Source organism: Homo sapiens, chromosome 17, assembly GCF_000001405.40.
Source record: "Homo sapiens chromosome 17, GRCh38.p14 Primary Assembly".
Lineage (NCBI taxonomy): Eukaryota > Metazoa > Chordata > Mammalia > Primates > Hominidae > Homo > Homo sapiens.
Genome location: NC_000017.11, coordinates 19,098,951 through 19,117,098, shown reverse-complemented (window position 1 = coordinate 19,117,098; position 18,148 = coordinate 19,098,951). Strand labels below are relative to the sequence as shown.

Below are 18,148 nucleotides of genomic sequence, written 5' to 3'. Positions count from 1 at the left end.
CTCAAGCGATTCCCGTGCCTCAGCCTGCAGAGTAGCTGGGATTACAGGCTGGGATTACCACCACGCCCTGCTAATTTCTGCATTTTTAGTAAAGACAGGGTTTCATCGTGTTGGCCAGGCTGGTCTCGAACTCCTGGCCTCAGGCGATCTGCCCGCCTTGGCCTCCCAAAGTGCTGGGATTACAGGTGTGAGCCACTGTGCCTGGCCTATTCCTGATGACTCTCCTTGCTCTGAAGTCTGTACTGTCTGAAATTAATATAGAGACTCCTGCTTTCTTTTGATCAGTGTTGGCATAGATCTTTCTTTATCCATTCGCTTTTAATACATAAGTCTTTAAAGTGTAGTTCTTGTAAGCAACATATAGTTACGTCTTGTTTTTTGCTCACTCTGACAATCTCTGTCTTTTAATTGGTTCATCTGGACCACTGATATGCAAAGGGATGTTGATATAATTGGATTAATAGCTGCCTTTTTTTGTTTTTACTGTTTTCTATTTGTTGCCTTTGTTTCTATTTTTGTCTTCCACTCTTTTTCTGCCTCTTGTAGTGTTTTGCCTTTGGGGTTTTTCTTTTTTTTATTTTCTTTTACTTTCTTTTTTTTTTTTTGAGACAGAGTCTCCCAGGCTGGAGTGCAGTGACGCGATCTCAACTCACTGTACTCTCTGCCTCCCCGGTTCAAGCAATTCTCCTGTTTTAGCCTCCCAAGTAGCTGGGACTACAGACACGCACTGCCACGCCCGGCTAATTTTTGTATTTTTATTAGAAATGGGGTTTCACCATGTTGGCCAGGATGGTCTTGATCTTCTGACCTCGTGATCCACCTGTCTCAGCCTCCCAAAGTGCTGGGATTACAGGCATGAGTCACCACACCCAGTCTATTTTTTTTTAAGTTTTTTGGTTTTTGTGTTTTTTTTTGAGATGGTATCTCGCTCTTGTTGCCCAGGCTGGAGTGCAATGGCAAGATCTCTGCTCGCTGCAACCTCCGCCTCCTGGGTTCAAGTGATTCTCCTGCCTCAGCCTTCCGAATCGCTGGAATTACGGGAGCCCGACACCACGCCCAGATAATTTTTTGTATTTTTAGTAGAGATGGGGTTTCACCATGTTGGCCAGGCTGGTGACGAACTCCTGACCTCAGGTGATCCACCCGCCTCAGCCTTCCAAAGAGGTTAGATTACACGCATGAGCCACCACGCCCGACCCTAAAAGTATTTTTTTTATAGAGATGGGGTCTCCCTCTGTTGCCCAAACTGGTCTCAAACCCCTGATCTCAAGTTACTGCCTGCCTCAGCTGCCCAGGTAGCAGGGATTACAGACACAAGCCACCGCCCCCGGCTCTATTTAGGAACATCTTAGTTCCAAGTTTTGGCAATTATGGATAAAGCCGCTATAAACATATGTTTCCAGGCTTGTGCGGACATACATTTTCAACTCATTTGGGTAGACACCAAGAGCTGCATTCCAGCCTGGGCAACAAGAGTGAAATTCCGTCTCAAAAAAAAAAAAAAACACAGAAATGTAGGCCGGGCATGGTGGCTTGCACCTATAATCCCAGAACTTTGGGAGGCCAAGGCAGGCAGATCACTTGAGCTCAGGAGTTCAAGACCAGTCTGGCCAACATGGTGAAACCCTGTCTCTACTAAAAATACAAAAATTAGCCAGGCGCGGTGGCGCATGCCTGTAATCCCAGCTACTCAGGAGGCTGAGGCATGAGAATGACTTGAACCCAGGAGGCAGAGGTTGCAGTGAGCCCAGATCGTGCCACTGCACTCCAGCCTGGGTGATGAAGTGAAACTCTGTCAAAACAGAAATTATTCTCTCGCAGTTCTGGAGGCTCAAAGTCAGGAATCAAACTGTTGAAGCCTCGAAGGGGGATCCTTCCTTGACTCCTCCGGCGTCTGGAGGCTACTGGCCATCCTGGTGTTACTCAAACACCAGGGGTTCCATCTAGGGCCTGCCACTCACCTCACAGAAAGCCAATCAGTGAGACAACGATTCTTGCCAAGGAAGAAGGCTTTAATCAGGTGCTGCAGCTGAGGGGATGGGAGGGCTTCATCCCAGGAATGCAGGGGGTGGTTCAACATAAGAAAATCCGTTAACGTAATGTACCGCATTAGTAGAACAAAGGGAAAAAAACAGTCATTCCAGCTGACACAGAAAAAGCATCTAAGAAATTCTAACATTTCATCATTAAAACATAGAGAAAACTATGAAACGAGGGGATCTGCCTCAACATTATAAAAGGTATTTGTGAAAAAACCACAGTTACCATCATACTTAGTGGTGAAAGACTAAAAGCTTTCCCCCTAAGTTCAGGAACAAGACACAGAGGTTCACCTTTACCACTGCTACTCAATGTTTTTTTTTTTGTTTTGTTGGTTTTGTTGTGTTTTCGAGAAGGAGTCTTGCTCTGTCGCCCAGGCTGGAATGCAGTGGCGTGATCTCGGCTCACTGCAGCCTCTGCCCCCGGGGTTCAAGCAATTCTCCTGCCTCAGCCTCCCCAGTAGCTGGGACTACAGGTGCGCACTGCCACGCCTGGCTAATTTTTGTATTCTTAGTAGAGACAGGGTTTCACCATGTTGGCCAGGATGCTCTTGAGCTCCTGACCTTGTTATCTGCCTGCCTCGGCCTCCCAAAATGCTGGAATTACAGATGTGAGCCACCGCGCCTGGCCTAGTCAACATTTTGCTAGAAGTTGTAGCCAGAGCCTTTAGGTAAGAAAAGGCACCAAATTGAGAAATAAGAAATAAAACCATCGCTTTAAATAGGGAAAATCCCAAAGAATACACGCACAATAATTACTAGAGCTAATAAGCAAATGCAGCAAAGTTTCAGGACACAAGATCAACTCACAAAAACCAGTTGTGTGGTTTCCTGTTTGTTTTTTTGAGGAGTTATGCTCTTATCGCCCAGGCCGGAGTGCAATGGCGTGATCTTGGCTCACTGCAGCCTCTGCCTCCCGGGTTCAAGCAATTCTCCTGCCTCAGCCTCCCCAGTAGCTGGGATTACAGGCGCAGGCCACCACGCCCGGCCAGTTTTTGTATTTTTAGTAGAGACGAGGTTTCACCACGTTGGCCAGGATGGTCTTGATCTCCTGACCTGGTGATCCACCCGCCTCGGCCTCCCAAAGTGCTAGGATGACAGGCGTGAGCCACCGTGCCCGGTCCAGTTGTGTTTTTATGCACTGGCAAGGAACAATTCAAAAATGTAATTAAGAAAACCGCTGGGCGTGGTGGCTCACGCCTGTAGTCCCAGCACTTTGAGCGGCCGAGGCGGGTGGATCCCTTGATCCCAGGAGTTCAAGACCATCCTGGGCAATGTGGTGAAACCCCCTCCCTACAAAAAATACAAAAAATTAGCGGAGCGTGATGGCATGTGCCTACGATCCCAGCTACTCAGGAGGCTGACGTGGGAGGATCACCCGAGCCCTGGGGGTCAAGGCTGCAGTGAGCTGTCACATCATGCATCATTGCACTCCAGCCTGAAAAAGGAGTGAAATTCTGCAACATGTTACAACGTGAATGAACCTTGAAAACGTCATTCTAAGTGAAATAAGCCAGATACAAAAGGACAATATTGCATGTTTCCACTTATAGAGATACCTACAAGAATCAAATTCATAGAGACGGAAAGTAGAATAGTGGTTAAAGGGGTCTGGGCGGAGGGAGGAAAGGGAAGTTTGTTTTACGGGTAGAGTTTCAGTTTGGGATGTCGAAAAAGTTCTGGAGATAAATAATGGTGATGGTTACATGCCAATGGCTACACGAATGTACTTAATGCCACTGAATTGTATATGTGAAAAATGGTTAAAATGGTAAATTTTGTATCTATTTAATACCATCCCCCCTAAAAAAAAAATTGTTTTTAAGAGTCAAGATCTCACTCTGTCTCCCAGGCTGGGGTGCAGTGGGGTAACTGATCAGAGCTCACTGCAGCTTTGAACTCAGCCAGCTTCCCTGACTCAAACGATCATCCCGCTTCAGCCTCCCGAGTAGCTGGGACTACAGACGGTGCCATCACGCCCAGCTCATTGTTGATTCCCGCCCCCTTGGTAGAGACGGGATTCCGCTATATTGCCTGGGCTGGTGTCGAACTCATAGAACAAAGGATCCTCCCTCCTGGGCCTGGGCGTGGGCTCGCAAAACGCTGGGATTCCCGGATTACAGGCGGGCGCACCACACCAGGAGCAAACACTTCCGGTTTTAAAAATTCAGTTTGTGATTGGCTGTCATTCAGTATTATGCTAATTAAGCATGCCCGGTTTTAAACCTCTTAAAACAACTTTTAAAATTACCTTTCCACCTAAAACGTTAAAATTTGTCAAGTGATAATATTCGACAAGCTGTTATTGCCAAACTATTTTCCTATTTGTTTCCTAATGGCATCGGAACTAGCGAAAGTTTCTCGCCATCAGTTAAAAGTTTGCGGCAGATGTAGACCTAGCAGAGGTGTGCGAGGAGGCCGTTAAGGCTATACTTTCAGGGATCATTTCTATAGTGTGTTACTAGAGAAGTTTCTTTGAACGTGTAGAGCACCGAAAACCCCGAGGAAGAGAGGTAGCGTTTTCTCCTGAGCGTGAAGCCGGCTTTCTGGCGTTGCTTGGCTGCAACTGCCGTCAGCCATTGATGATCGTTCTTCTCTCCGTATTGGGGAGTGAGAGGGAGAGAACGCGGTCTGAGTGGTTTTTCCTTCTTGATGGCTCAATGACAGAGACTAGCTCGTAAACTCCGGGCCGTTTCCGGGCTGTTCGCTCCTGCTTGGCAATGTCGCGAGAAAGGTTTTCGCCTCCTGTTTCAGCGGTGACGGCTCTTGGGTTTTCTCGGGGTGGCTTTTTAATTTTAGTCTTGGCGCGAGGCGGGGGATGCTGTGTGGCACCTCCTATTGTCTCTTTTTGCGTTTTCTCCCATTCTCGCTCCCTCTTTTGTCGCCGTTTCCCGCCCGCCACTCCCACCCCCAGACGGGGTCTCCGGGTCTCTTGTTCTGTCTGCCGGCCCCGGCTGGAGTGCAGTGGCGCGATCTCGGCTCCTAGCAACAACTGCCTCCCGGGCTCAAGCGAGTCTCCCGCCTAAGCCCTCCCGAGTAGCCGGGGCTTAAAGGCGCACACGCCACTCCAGGCTTTTTTTTTTTGGCAGAAACGGGGTGTCAGCATGTTAGCCAGGCTGGTCTCCAACGCGTGATCTCAGGTGATCCGCCCGCCTCGGCCTCCCGAAGTTCTGGGATTACAGGCGTGAGCCACTGCACCCGGCCCTTCTATTTTTTTAAATAGCGACGGGGTTTCACCATGTTGGCCAGGCTGCTCCTGAACACCTGAGTTCAGGTGATCCGCCCGCCTCGGCCTCCCGAAGTTCTGGGATTACAGGAGTGAGCCACCGCGCCCGACTGAGAACTGTAAGAAATAAATTTGTGTTATTTAAGCCACAAAGTCTGTGTATTTTGTTATGGAGCCCAAGAAAAGCAGCTTCTTCTGAAACTAAACACTTTCGGTATGATCAGAACTCGTGCCTCTTGGTGTCTACCCAAATGAGTTGAAAATGTCCACACAAAAACCTGCACACCTGTTTATATAGCAGCTTTATCCATAATTCCCAAAACTTGGAACTAAGATGTTCCTGAATAGAGCCAGCGGCTGTGGCTTGTGTCTGTAATCCCTGCTACTTGGGCAGCTGAGGCAGACAGTCAGTCACTTGAGATAAGCAGTTTGAGACCAGTCTGGGCAACAGAGTGAGACCCCATCTCTATAAAAAGTACTTTTAGGGCCGGGTGCGGGTGCGCCGCTGCGGCCACCGGCAGCGCTCGAGAGGCGGGAGCGACCGTAGCCCGCGGAGCCGCCGCCACCGCCGCGTCTGGCTCAGTTTGACACCCACACACCAGCCAACATGGCGGCCGGGAGGGGGCGCGCCGGAGGCGTGCGCGCGCCCTCAGGCCCCGCCCCCGAGGTCCCGCCCCCACGCCCGCAGACCGCGCCCCTGCGACCCCGCCAGAGCCCCTCCCTAGTGGCCCCTGCGCGGCTTCCCCTCCGCCTCCTGCGCTCCAGGACCCCACGCGGACGACCCACCCTTCCGCAGCGCCCCACAGTCGACGCCCGAGCCCCCAAAAAACCCCCAATCCCGAGCGCCACACAAACCCTGGCAAATTAATACCCGAACGCGCGCACTCTAATCCCCTTCAGGCCACTCCACCCCGTACACACTCACGGCCCCCCCACACTCACGGCCGGGCAGCACGCGCAGACCCCGCCCCGTCAAGCAGAAACTCACGCTCCGGCCTGCCGGTTTCACTCAAAAACCTTGTTCAGTAGGAGAGACTGGAAGGGGGCCAGGGCCTGCCGGGCGCTGGTAGGGTTGGGTTCTTAGGCTACAAGTGTGTTCACTTTATGAAGATGCGCGGAAGTACACTTTGGATTTGTGCGCTTTTCCGTGCGTGTATTTCACGTCAATAAAATATACTCAAAAACGGAGAAGTCTCTAGGCTTCTTTAGGCTGCTCAAGGGGTTACCTAAGGGCACGAATGGCAAGGGGTTACCTACATGGCACGAAAACGGAAACCCTTGACTGGCGGGCACCCACAAAGCACCTCCTCTGTGCCAAGCCCTGTGCTGGGCACAGAAATGAGACAGCCCCAAATGCCTCGAATGAGAGTCCCGGAACTGGAGGGGCCAGAACTGGAGGCTGCACCTCAAAGCTGACTAACCTGCTCCAATCAGGGTGGGAGTCAGCAGAGACTTCTCACAGCAGGGGCGCGGAGCATGAGTCAGGGCTTGCTAGGTGGGCAGAGGGCACCATCCCTGTTGCCTGGGTGACATCAACACTCTGCCTAGCCTTGGCTTCAGGGAAGCTGTGGCCAGAAGTCTTCCTCTGCCCTAACTCACTGAGGGACCTTAAACAAGTCACTGTACTTCTCTGAGCCTCAGATTCCTCCTCCCTGTACAGGAACCAGGGGATGAAAGTATCCCTTAAGGTTCTAACAACCCAGGATCTGGAATTCCATTCTCTGGCAAAAAAAAAAAGGTTGTATCTTTCCAGGAATTCATCTATTTATTGTAAGTTTTTTAGTGTGTGTGCATAGACGTGTTCATAATAGTTTTTGAGGGCTTTTTTGTGTTTGTATGGGGTCGGTGGTAATGTCCTCTTTGCCCTTTCTGATTATGTTTACTTGTATCTTCTCTTTTTTCTTTATTAGTCTAGCTAGTGATACAATAAATACGATAAAAATGGAGAGAGCTTGTAACACGTTTGCAAAACCACATAGCCACTTTTCCTTTGAAAAGTCAAACACTGGTAGCTCTAGATGCTAGAAACACTCTCCAGTTAACCACCCTTCCCACTGCTTGGTGCCCCTTCTCCACCAGCAGAGGGAATTATGCCCTATGTGCCTGCCTTGCAGCAGAAGCCGGAGCTCCCCGTTTTGAACTTGGTCCACCCTCATCCCAGAGAATGCCCTCAACCAGTCCAACATTCCTTGTGAGCCTCACCTCTTTACCCCATCTCCAAGGAAAGCAGAACTTTACACTGCAATCATGCTTCTGCCCTGAGTTTACAATGTCAGATGAGTTATAACACAGAGCTGATGCACAGCACGGGCGTGATGCTTCTAAATCAGCACTGTTCAGCAGAATTTCCCTCCACGATGGAAATGTTCTTTCTGCGTGCTGTCCGTAGGATAGCTACGAGTCACAGGAGGCCAGCGAGCACTTGAAATGTGGCTAGTGAGACTGAGGGGCTGAATTTTTTAAACTTCATTAAACTTTTATTAATTTAAATGTAAATAGCCATATGTGGCTAGATGCTACCATGCTGACCAGTGCTGGTCTAAAACCTTACCACAATTCCACAAGTGCACATTCTTTTTTTATTTATTTGCTTTGAGACGGAGTCTCACTCTATTGCCCAGGCTGAAATGCAATGGCACAATCTCAGCTCACTGCAACCTCCATCTCCCAGGTTCAAGTGATTCTCCTGCCTCAGCCTCCCACGTGGCTGGGATTACAGGCCCGCACCCCCACACCTGGCTAATTTTTGTATTTTTAGTAGAGACAGGGTTTCACCATGTTGGCCAGGCTGGTCTCGAACTCCTGACCTCGTGATCCTCCCGCCTCAGCCTCCCAAAGTGTTGGGATTACAGGTGTGAGCCACCGTGCCCAGCAAGGTGCACATTCTTGCTGTTCACATTTTACAGACAAGAAATTGAGGTTTGGAGATATGCTGGGGCTTGGCCACCCAGGCCCACTTTTCCATATGCAGAGCCTAATACTCCCTTCACTACCCACCTAGCAAGTGTGTGTAGCCGCACAGATAATATGCAAGCCTGGAAAGAGAACTGGATACAGATAATGAGATGATGAGCTAACCTACAGGACAGGAAGTGAGTTGGAGAACACCAGATTAGCCCAGGCTTGAGAAGTGGGGGAGGGTGTCCTGAGGCCGGAAGACCGCCACGTGCAAGGTCAGAGGGGACATTCTTGCATTCCTCAAAGTCATTTCTCTTTCCTGGACCCCCTCCTTGAAGCGTATCAGCCCCCTGGCATTCCTCTCTCAATTCATCCTCATGATGATCCCTTGACGTCAGCAGCCCTATTCCTATTTTAGATGCGGAAACTGAGGCAGCATGTGGCAGGGCTAGGATTCAATTCCAGGTTCTATGAGTCTAGAGCACATAAGCAGTCTTGCAGAGGAACTTGCAGGATAAGCTGAACAATTTCATCCGTGCCCAAAGCAGTCCATGGAAAACAGGGCTGGAGGAGACACTCTCATCTGCCCTTGCAGAGGTTTGGAGGTTGGTTCCAGGTGGATAATGGAGCAGACTGATGGGGGCCGGTTGGAGAGGTGTATTTCAGAAGAAAGAGCTGGCAGTGCAGGCCAGGGGTGTCTCTGGGGTTAGGGAAGGAGGGTTTCAAGCAGGAAGGGACTTTGGGGGAAAGACTGGCAGGCAGCAGACAGGGACAGACTGCATGCTGAATGAAAAGAATCACTTAGCACAGGTGCAGAACAGGCTCCCCGGGATCTTCACCAAAGGCTTGAACTCTATATTCAAAACTATTTGTCCCACAAAAAGAAACTTGTGTTGGCAATCCAGAAACACCTAATTTCTTGTCCACCGACTTGCTGCTTGACCATGACGTCACTGCCCCTCCCTGGACCTCAGTTTCCCCATCTGTGAAGTGGGAATAATAACCCCTCCCACTCCCTAGGATTGCATTCTGGCTCAGGTGAAAAGGCAGAGGAGGAAATGCTTTGGAAACTGTAAATGCACTGGATGGGTGTTGATGGCAGTTCTCTTATTAAGGACATTGAAAAGAATGGAGCCATCCTTTCCCTTCTAGGGGTTGAAAGTCTAGGACAGAGAAGTTTTGAGTTTGGGCAGCATGAACATGAGCAGAAACCAAATGCCACATAGACAATCAAGAGAAAGAGCTATGACAGCTCTCACAGGAGGAAGTTTCCTTCTAGCCCATGGGGAAGGAAGGACCTGTGCCAACATCCTGGAAGTGCAGGTGCTGGAGAAAGGAACTAGTAACAATGACAACAAAGTAGTGAGCATTGTGCAAATGTTTTGCATGCAGTACCTCATTTCCTCCTCATAAAAAACCCTAAGAGGTAGAGACTACCGTTATCCTTATTTTACAGCTGAGGTTCAGAAAGCTTCCATTATTTGCCCAAGATAACACAGCTAAAAAGTGGTAACCCTGGAAAACCCAAGCCTAAACTCCAAAGCTAAACTTTTTTTCTTTGTTTTTTGAGACGAAGTTTCGTTCTTGTTGCCCAGGCTGGAGTGCAGTGGCGCGGAGTTCACCGCAACCTCCGCCTCCCAGGTTCAAGCAATTTTCCTACCTTAGCCTCCCAAGTAGCTGGAATTACAGACATGTGCCACCACACCTGGCTAATTTTTGTATTTCTAAATTTATTTATTTATTTATTTATTTAAGATGGAGTCTCACTCTGTTGCCCAGGCTAGAGTCCAGTGGCGCAATCTCGGCTCATTGCACCCTCCGCCTCCCTGGTTCAAGCGATTCTCCTGAGTAGCTGGGATTACAGGCATGTGCCACCATGCCCAGCTAATTTTGGTATTTTTTTAGTAGACACGCCGTTTCACCATGTTGGTCAGCCTGGTCTCGAACTCCTGACCTCAAATGATCCGCCTGCCTTGGCCTCCCAAAGTGATGGGATTACAGGCATGTGCCACCATGCCCAGCTAATTTTGGTATTTTTTTAGTAGACACGTGGTTTCACCATGTTGGTCAGCCTGGTCTCCAACTCCTGACCTCAGATGATCCGCCTGCCTTGGCCTCCCAAAGTGATGGGATTACAGGCATGAGCCACTGCACCCGGCCCTTCTATTTTTTTAGAGACGGGGTTTCACCATGTTGGCCAGGCTGGTCCTGAACACCTGAACTCAGGTGATCTGTCCACCTTGGCCTCCCAAAGTGCTGGGATTACAGGAGTGAGCCACCATGCCCAGCCTTTTGTGTGTGTGTGTGTGTGTGTATGTGTGTGAGAGAGAGACCGGGTCTTGTTCTGTCACCCAGGCTAGAGTGCAGTGGCACAATCATGGTTCACTGCATCCTCAATCTCCTAGGCTCAAACAATCCTCCTACCTCAGCCTCCCAAGTAGCTGGGACTACACCACACCTGGCTATTTTTTCCAATTTTTTTGTAGAGACAGGATCATATAATGTTGCCCAGGCTGGTCTCAAACTCCTGGAGTTGATCCCCCTGCCTCAGCCACCCACTCAAAGTGCTGAGATTACAGGGATGAGCCACCATGCCTAAAACTAAACTCTTGGGAAGAATCTGAATAGGCTGAAGGGAGCGACTCCTTCTCCCTTCCAGCTCTGAGCCTGAGTCAATCAGAGCTTTCCCTCCCTGGTCAGTGATTAGTTCAGGAATGGGCACCTGACTCATAGCAGAGCAATGACTCTCAAGCCAAGCCTGGGACTTCTACAGAAATCATTGAAAAAAGAAGCTTCTAGGGGCCGGGGTGCAGTGGTTCATGCCTGTAATCCCAGCACTTTGGGAGGCTGAGGCGGGCAGATCACCTGAGGTTAGGAGTTTGAGACCAGCCTGGCCAATATGGTGAAACCCCGTCTTTACTAAAAATACAAAATTAGCTGGGTGTGGTGGCGTGCACCTGTAATCCCAGCTATTCAGGAGGCTTAGACAGGAGAATCGCTTGAACCTGGGAGGCGGAGGCTGCAGTGAGCCGAGATCATGCCACTGCACTCCAGCCTGAGGAACAGGAGCAAAACTTCATCTCAAAAAAAAAAAGTTAGCCAGGCGTGGTGGTACATGTAATCCCAGCTACTTGGTTGGGAGGCTGAAGCAGGAGAATCGCTCAAACCCAGGAGGCAGAGGTTGCAGTGAGCCAAGATTGTGCCATTGCACTCCAGCCTGGGCAACAAGAGTGAAACTCCGTCTCAAAAAAAAGAAAAAAAGAAGCTTCTCTTCCTATCAGGTTACTGAGCTAGTGGGATATAAGCCTGGAGTAGCTCCATAATGGAGAACCAGCCTAAGAATGAAGCCAACACAGATGGGAACAGAGATGAGAGAAAAGATAGAGTCCTGCTGATATTAAGCACCTTGAACCAGCCAGCCAGCCATGCCTGAAGCTTTAAGCATAGACTTTTCAGCACACAAGCCAATACATTTTTTGGAACTATTGTGATAGAAAACCCAACTCAGGCCAGGCACAGTGGCTCACGCCTGTAATCCCAGCACTTTGAGAGACCAAGGCGGGTGAATCAGGAGGTCAGGAGATCAAGACCATCCTGACCAAAATGGTGAAACCCTGTCTCTACTAAAAATATGAAAAATTAATTGGGCATGTTGGTACGTGCCTATAATCCCAGCTACTCAGGATGCTGAGGCAGGAGAATTGCTTGAACCAGGGAGTCAGAGGTTGTAGTGAGCCCAGATTGCACCACTGCACTCCAGCCTGGCAACAGAGTGAGACTCCTTCTCAAAAAAAAAAAAAAAAAAAAAACAGAAAAAGAAAACCCAACCCAGGCCAGCTGAGGTGGCTCACACCTATAATCCTAGCAGTTTTGGTGCTCCACACGGGAGGATCACTTGAGTTTAGGAGTAGGAGGCCAGCCTGGGCAACATAGTGGGACGTTGTCTCTTAAAAAAAAAATTTTTTTTTTACTTAGTTGGACGTGGTGGTGCTCACCTGTAGTCCCAGCTACTTGGGAGGCTGAGGCGGGAGGATCCCTTAAGCCTAGCAGGTTGAGGTTGCAATGAGCCATGATTGTGCCACTGTATTCCAGCCTGGACAACAGAGCAAGACCCTACCCAAAAAAAAAAAAAAAAAAGAAAGAAAGAAAGAAAGAAAGGAAGAGAAAAACCCCACTGAAACTGGCTTAAATGATAATTGGAATCAATTGGCTCATTTAACCAAAATTTCCAGAGCTAGGGTTCAAGTGCAGTGCGATCAAGGCTCTGGCTCCATTCTTTAGCATATGCCTCTTGGACATGTGGCCATTTTCCTTGGCTGGTGTCTTGACTAGCTGCAGATTGGCTGTGGCACATCCATGCCTCAGATCTCTGGCCATGCCATGGAAAACAGAGAGCAGTCTGGGTGCAGTGGTTCACACCTGTAATCCCAGCACTTTGGGAAGCCGAGATGGGCAGATCACAAGGTCAGGAGTTCGAGACCAGCCTGGCCAATATGGTGAAACCCCATCTCTACTAAAAATACAAAAATTAGCTGGGCATAGTGATGCGCGCCTGTAGTCTCAACTACTTGGCAGACTGAGGCAGAAGAATCGCTTGAACCCGGGAGGCGAAGGTTGCAGTGAGCCGAGATCATGCCACTGCACTCCAGCCTGGATGACAGAGCGAGACAGAAAGAAAAGAGAAAGAGAGAGAAAGAAAGAGAGAGAGAGAGAAAGAGAAAGAGAGAAAAAGAAAGAGAGAAAGAGAGAGAAAGAGAGAAAGGAAGACAGGAAAGGAGGAAGGAAGGAAGGAAGAGAGAGCATCTCTTTCTCTCAATTCAGCAAACTAAAATCCTAGGCTTGCTCTGAATGGAAGAACTTGGATCATGGGAGGGTGAAATGGGGAATTATGATAATTGGCGTAGTCAAATCAGGGCTCATTCCCGGAGTTGCGACAAGAACAAATGCTGACCAGGAGTGCCCACCACACTAATGAATTCCCTCTTCTCCTTCTTCAGCCAGACCACTAGCATTTTCTTTCTTTTTTTTTTTTTTTTTTTTTGAGACGGAGTCTTGCTCTGTAGACCAGGCTGAAGTGCAGTGGCGTGATCTCAGCTCACTGCAAGCTCCGTCTCCCGGGTTCACGCCATACTCCTGCCTTAGCCTCCCGAGTAGCTGGGACTACAGGTGCCCGCCACCACACCCGGCTCATTTTTTATATTTTTAGTAGAGACGGGGTTTCACCGTGTTAGCCAGGATGGTCTCGATCTCCTGACCTCGTGATCCGCCCGGCTCGGCTTCCCAAAGTGCTGGGATTACAGGCGTGAGCCACCGCGCCCAGCCCACTTGCATTTTCATTAGTCAGTATCCAGATTCCTGATAGTAACCCCATTTTCTGTTTTTTGTGGGTTTTTTTGTTTGTTTTGTTTTGTTTTTTGAGACCGAGTTTCGCTCTTGTTGCCCAGGCTGGAATGCAGTGGCTCGATCTTGGCTCACTGCAACCTCGGCCTCCGGAGTTCAAGCGATTCTCCTGCTTCAGCCTCCTAAGTGGCTGGGATTACGGGCACGCGTTACCGCCCCCGGCTAATTTTGTATTTTTAGTAGAGACGGGGTTTCACCATGTTGGTCAGGCTGGTCTCAAACTCCTGACCTCAGGTTATTCTCCTGCCTCGGCCTCCCAGAGTGCTGGGATTAAGTAACCCCATTTTGAAATGGTTTCCATTTAGCTTTTTTGATAGTTCCAAACTTTCATACTTTCAGTCTTCATTAAATCAATTAATAAACTGATCATTCTGCTTGGGATTTACATAATATCTTTCTTCCAGAGCTTTAATTATATTTCATAAGCAAATTTCAATGACCTTCATCATTTTTCCTCCCTAGAGCATAATGTGTAACTATAAAAATAGCATCCGTGGCTGGGCGCGGTGGCTCACGCCTATAATCCCAGCACTTTGGGAGGCCGAGGAGGGTGGATCACAAGGTCAGGAGTTTGAGACCATCCTGGCCAAGATGGTGAAACCCCGTCTCTACTAAAAATACCAAAAAATTAGCCGGGCGTGGTGGCGGGCACCTGTAATCCCAGCTACTCAGGAGGCTGAGGCAGAGAATTGCTTGAACCTGGGAGGCAGAGGTTGCAGTGAGCTGAGATCGTGCCACTGCACTCCAGCCTGGGCAACAGAGCAAGACTCCGTCTCAAAAAAAAAAAAAAAAAAAAAAAAAAAAAGATAGCATCCACTCAATATCTAGTCTCTGATCTTATGGCACATTTCTGTTCCATTAATCTTTAGGCTTTTTCCCAAAGTGGTGAAGATTCCAAACAAAATGGGCCATTTAGAAAACGTTTTCAGGCTGGTCACCGTGGCTTACGCCTATAATCCCAGCACTTTGGGAGGCCGAGGTGGCTGGATCACAAGGTCAGGAGTTCGAGACCAGCCTGGCCAACATTATGAAAACCTGTCTCTACTAAAGACGCAAAAAATTACCTGGGCGTGGTGGTGCATGCCTGTAATCCCAGCTACTCGGGAGGCTGAAGCAAGAGAATCACTTGAACCTGGGAGGCAGAAGTTGCAGTGAGCTGAGATCACACCATTGCACTCTAGCCTGGGTGACAGGGTGAGACTCTTTCTCAAAAGAAAAAAAAAATGTTTTTGGCTGGGCACAGTGGCTCATGCCTGTAATCCCAATCCCAGCACTTTGGGAGGCCGACCGAGGTGGGTGGATCACTTGAGGTCAGGAGTTTGAGACCAGCCTGGCCAACATGGGGAAACCCCGTCTCTACTAAAAATACAAAAATTAGCCAGGCGTGGTGGTGCACACCTGTAATCCCAGCTACTCGGGAGGCTGAGGCAGGAGAATCCCATGAACCCGGGAGGCAGAGGTTGCAGTAAGCCAAGATCACGCCACTGCACTCCAGCCTGGACAACAGAGCAAGACTCCGTCTCAAAAAAAAAAAAAAAGTTTTCTTCAGATTGTCAAATTCTGACTTGAAACAGTTATCATAAGCTGAGCCTGGTGGTTCACACCTGTAATCCCAGCACTTTGGGAGACTGAGGTGGGAGAATCGCTTGGGTCCAGTAGCGAGACCTTGTCTCAAAAACAAATCAAACAAACAAAACACAAAAACACAACCACAAAAAGCAAACAACACCCCCCTCCCACCCAAAGAAAAAGAAATGGTAACTACCTGGACAAAACATTTCACGTGCATTGTTTTAGTAAACAGACACAACCTTGGCTTCAGGTCTTTTTTGTTTTCTGTCACCCAGGCTGGAGTGCAGTGGTGAGATCTCGGCTCACTGCAACCTCCACCTCCCAGGTTCAAGTGATTCTCCTGCCTCAGCCTCCAGAGTAGCTGGAATTACAGGTGCAGGCCACCATGCCCGGCTAACTTTTGTATTTTTAGTAGAGACACAGTTTTACCATGTTGGCCAGGCTGGTCTTGAACTCCTGGCCTCAAGTGATCTGCCTGACTCAGCCTCCCAAAGTGCTAAGATTACAGGCATGAGCCACGGCACCCGGTCTTGGCTTGTTTTCTTGACAGATCGTTGCAACAGGGTAGGACAGGCACACTTATCACTGTTTAACAGATGAGCAAAGTAAACTGAGGTGCAGAGAGGGGCAATAGCTGGTGGCCCAGCTGATAGGCTGAGATTTTCACATGTCAGTCAGAGCCAGGGACCAACATCTATCCACTATTCTCTGCTGTCCTCTCTCAGAGCGCCCCTTCTTTGGAAATGTGCATAGCACCTTTCTACAAGAGACTCTTAGTGTGTTCTGAGAAAGCCGTAGCTCCTCACCTGCCTCAGAAGGGCACGGTGCTTGCTTCTTCAGAAAATTTACAGACAAGTTTCACACACTTAAAACTTTCAGCTTGGCTTGAGAGTTAAAACATAACCACTCCAAACTGTAATACAAAGAAGTCTGCTCAAAAGAGTAGCATTTGACCAGCCTGGGCAACATAGGGAAACCCCATCTCTACAAAAAAAAAAAAAAAAGTACAAAAATTAGCCAGACGTGGTGGCACATGCCTGTAATCTCAGCTACTCAGGAGGCTAAGGCAGGAGAATTGCTTGAACCCAGGAGGCGGAGTTTGCAGTGAGCTGACATCGCATCACTGCACTCCAGCCTGGGTGACAGAGCAATACGCCATCTCGAAGAAAAAGAAAAAAAAAAAAAATACATGCACAGAAAAAAAGTTCAATCAGTGCACAAGGACATATGCAACAAGTCTCCCTCCTACTGTTTCTCCTGATCTGCAGGTCCCCTCCCTAATGGCAATCACTGTTACAGTGTAACAGAGATTCTGACATAATCTTATTGTATGTATTTCCTTCACCCCCACGCATGGAAACAGTAACTCCCTCCACACACTACCTCATGCTTATATCATTAACAGTGTAACTCTTGGAGATTGTTGCACACCCACCAAAAGAGAACTGCCTTATTCTGTTTGTTTGTTTGTTTGTTTTGAGACGGAGTCTCTGTCGCTCAGGCTGGAGTGCAGTGGCACGATCTCGGCTCACTGCAACCTACGCCTCCCAGGTTCAAGCAATTCTCCTGCCTCAGGCTCCCGAGCAGCTGGCATTACAGGCATGCACCACCATGCCCAGCTAATTCTTTTGTATTTTTAGTAGAGACTGGGTTTCACCATATTGGCCAGGCTGGTCTTGAACTCTTGACCTCAGGTGATCCACCCGCCTCGGCCTCCCAAAGTGCTAGGATTACAGGCGTCAGCCACCACGCCCAGGCTCTTTTTTTTTTTTTTTTTTTTGAGTCAGAGTCTTGCTCTGTTGCCCAGGCTGGAGTGCAGTGGCACAATCTCAGCTCACTGCAACCTCGGTGTTCCAGGTTCAAATGATTGTCCTGCCTCAGCCTCCCGAGTAGCTGGGACTACAGGCATGCACCACCATGCCCAGATAACGTTTGTATTTTTAGGAGAGATGCGGTTTCACCATGTTGACCAGGCTGGTCTTGAACTCCTGACCTCAGGTGACCCACTGCACCCGGCCCAAATTTTTTTTTTTCTCAGACGGAGTCTCACTCTGTTGCCTAGGCTGGAGTGCAGTGGTGTGATCTTGGCTCACTGCAACCTCTACCTCCCAGGTTCAGCGATTCTCCTGCCTCAGCCTCCCGAGTAGCTGGGATTACAGGCATGTGCCGCCATGCCCAGCTACTTTTTTGTATTTTTAGTGGAGATGGGGTTTCACCGTGTTGGCCAGGCTGGTCTCAAACTCCTGACCTCAAGTGATCCACCCACCTTGGCCTCCCAAAGTGCTGGGATTACAGGCATGAGCCACCACTCCCGGCCCCTGATTTTTGTATTTTTAGTAGAGATGGGGTTTCGCCACATTGGCCAGGCTGGTCTCGAACTTCTGACCTCAGGTGATCCACCCACCTCGGTCTCCCAAAGTGCTGGGATTACAGGCGTGAGCCCCTGTACCCAACCTCATTCTTAAAGCCTTCCTATATTTAACCAGTCCCCAGCAGATGACGTACATTATACCCTGCATTCTGTTTCTCATACATGTTCTTGCGCAAATTTAACTGCAGGGTAAGTTTCTAGAAGGGAAATTCCATAGTCTAGACTAAAGGTTACTGGTAGGCCAGGTATCTCAACCTATATTTGGTTCTCAGATCCAAAGGTAGGATTTACAGAACAAAATTGCTTCATGTTCAGTGGGGTTGCACATGCCAGCTGCAGGTGAGAGCTCTGGGGATTTGCATGCTGTCAGCCAACACCCTAGCCACCTGGAGAGGTCCTCTGTTGAATTAACTGCCCAGCATCTGTCCACCCTGTGGACCACCCACAGCAGTGTTGCCTTCAAAAACTTGCCTGCTGGTCGGGCACAGTAGCTCATGCCTGTAATCCCAGCACTTTGGGAGGCCGAGGCAGGCGGATCACATGAGATCAGGAGTTCAAGACTAGCCTGGCCAACATGGTGAAACCCTGTCTCTACTAAAAATACAAAAATTAGCGGGGCATGGTGGTACACGCCTGTAGTCC

The 18,148-nt window shown here is 49.1% G+C and overlaps 1 non-coding gene across 1 annotated transcript, besides 2 other annotated features; it reads left to right on the top strand.

The window, feature by feature from the left end:
- The first annotated feature begins 4,462 nt into the window (after positions 1-4,462).
- On the top strand, positions 4,463-4,679 carry SNORD3D (small nucleolar RNA, C/D box 3D). The gene has a single exon (NR_006882.1). It is a non-coding gene; the product is annotated as a small nucleolar RNA, C/D box 3D (small nucleolar RNA).
- Positions 4,687-4,876: an enhancer, noted in NCBI's record as "active region_11849". NCBI's record gives its function as "activates an Ori minimal core promoter by ATAC-STARR-seq in GM12878 lymphoblastoid cells {active_cell/tissue: GM12878}" and the evidence as "EXISTENCE:reporter gene assay evidence [ECO:0000049][PMID:35858748]".
- Positions 5,707-5,976: a silencer, noted in NCBI's record as "silent region_8283". NCBI's record gives its function as "represses an Ori minimal core promoter by ATAC-STARR-seq in GM12878 lymphoblastoid cells {active_cell/tissue: GM12878}" and the evidence as "EXISTENCE:reporter gene assay evidence [ECO:0000049][PMID:35858748]".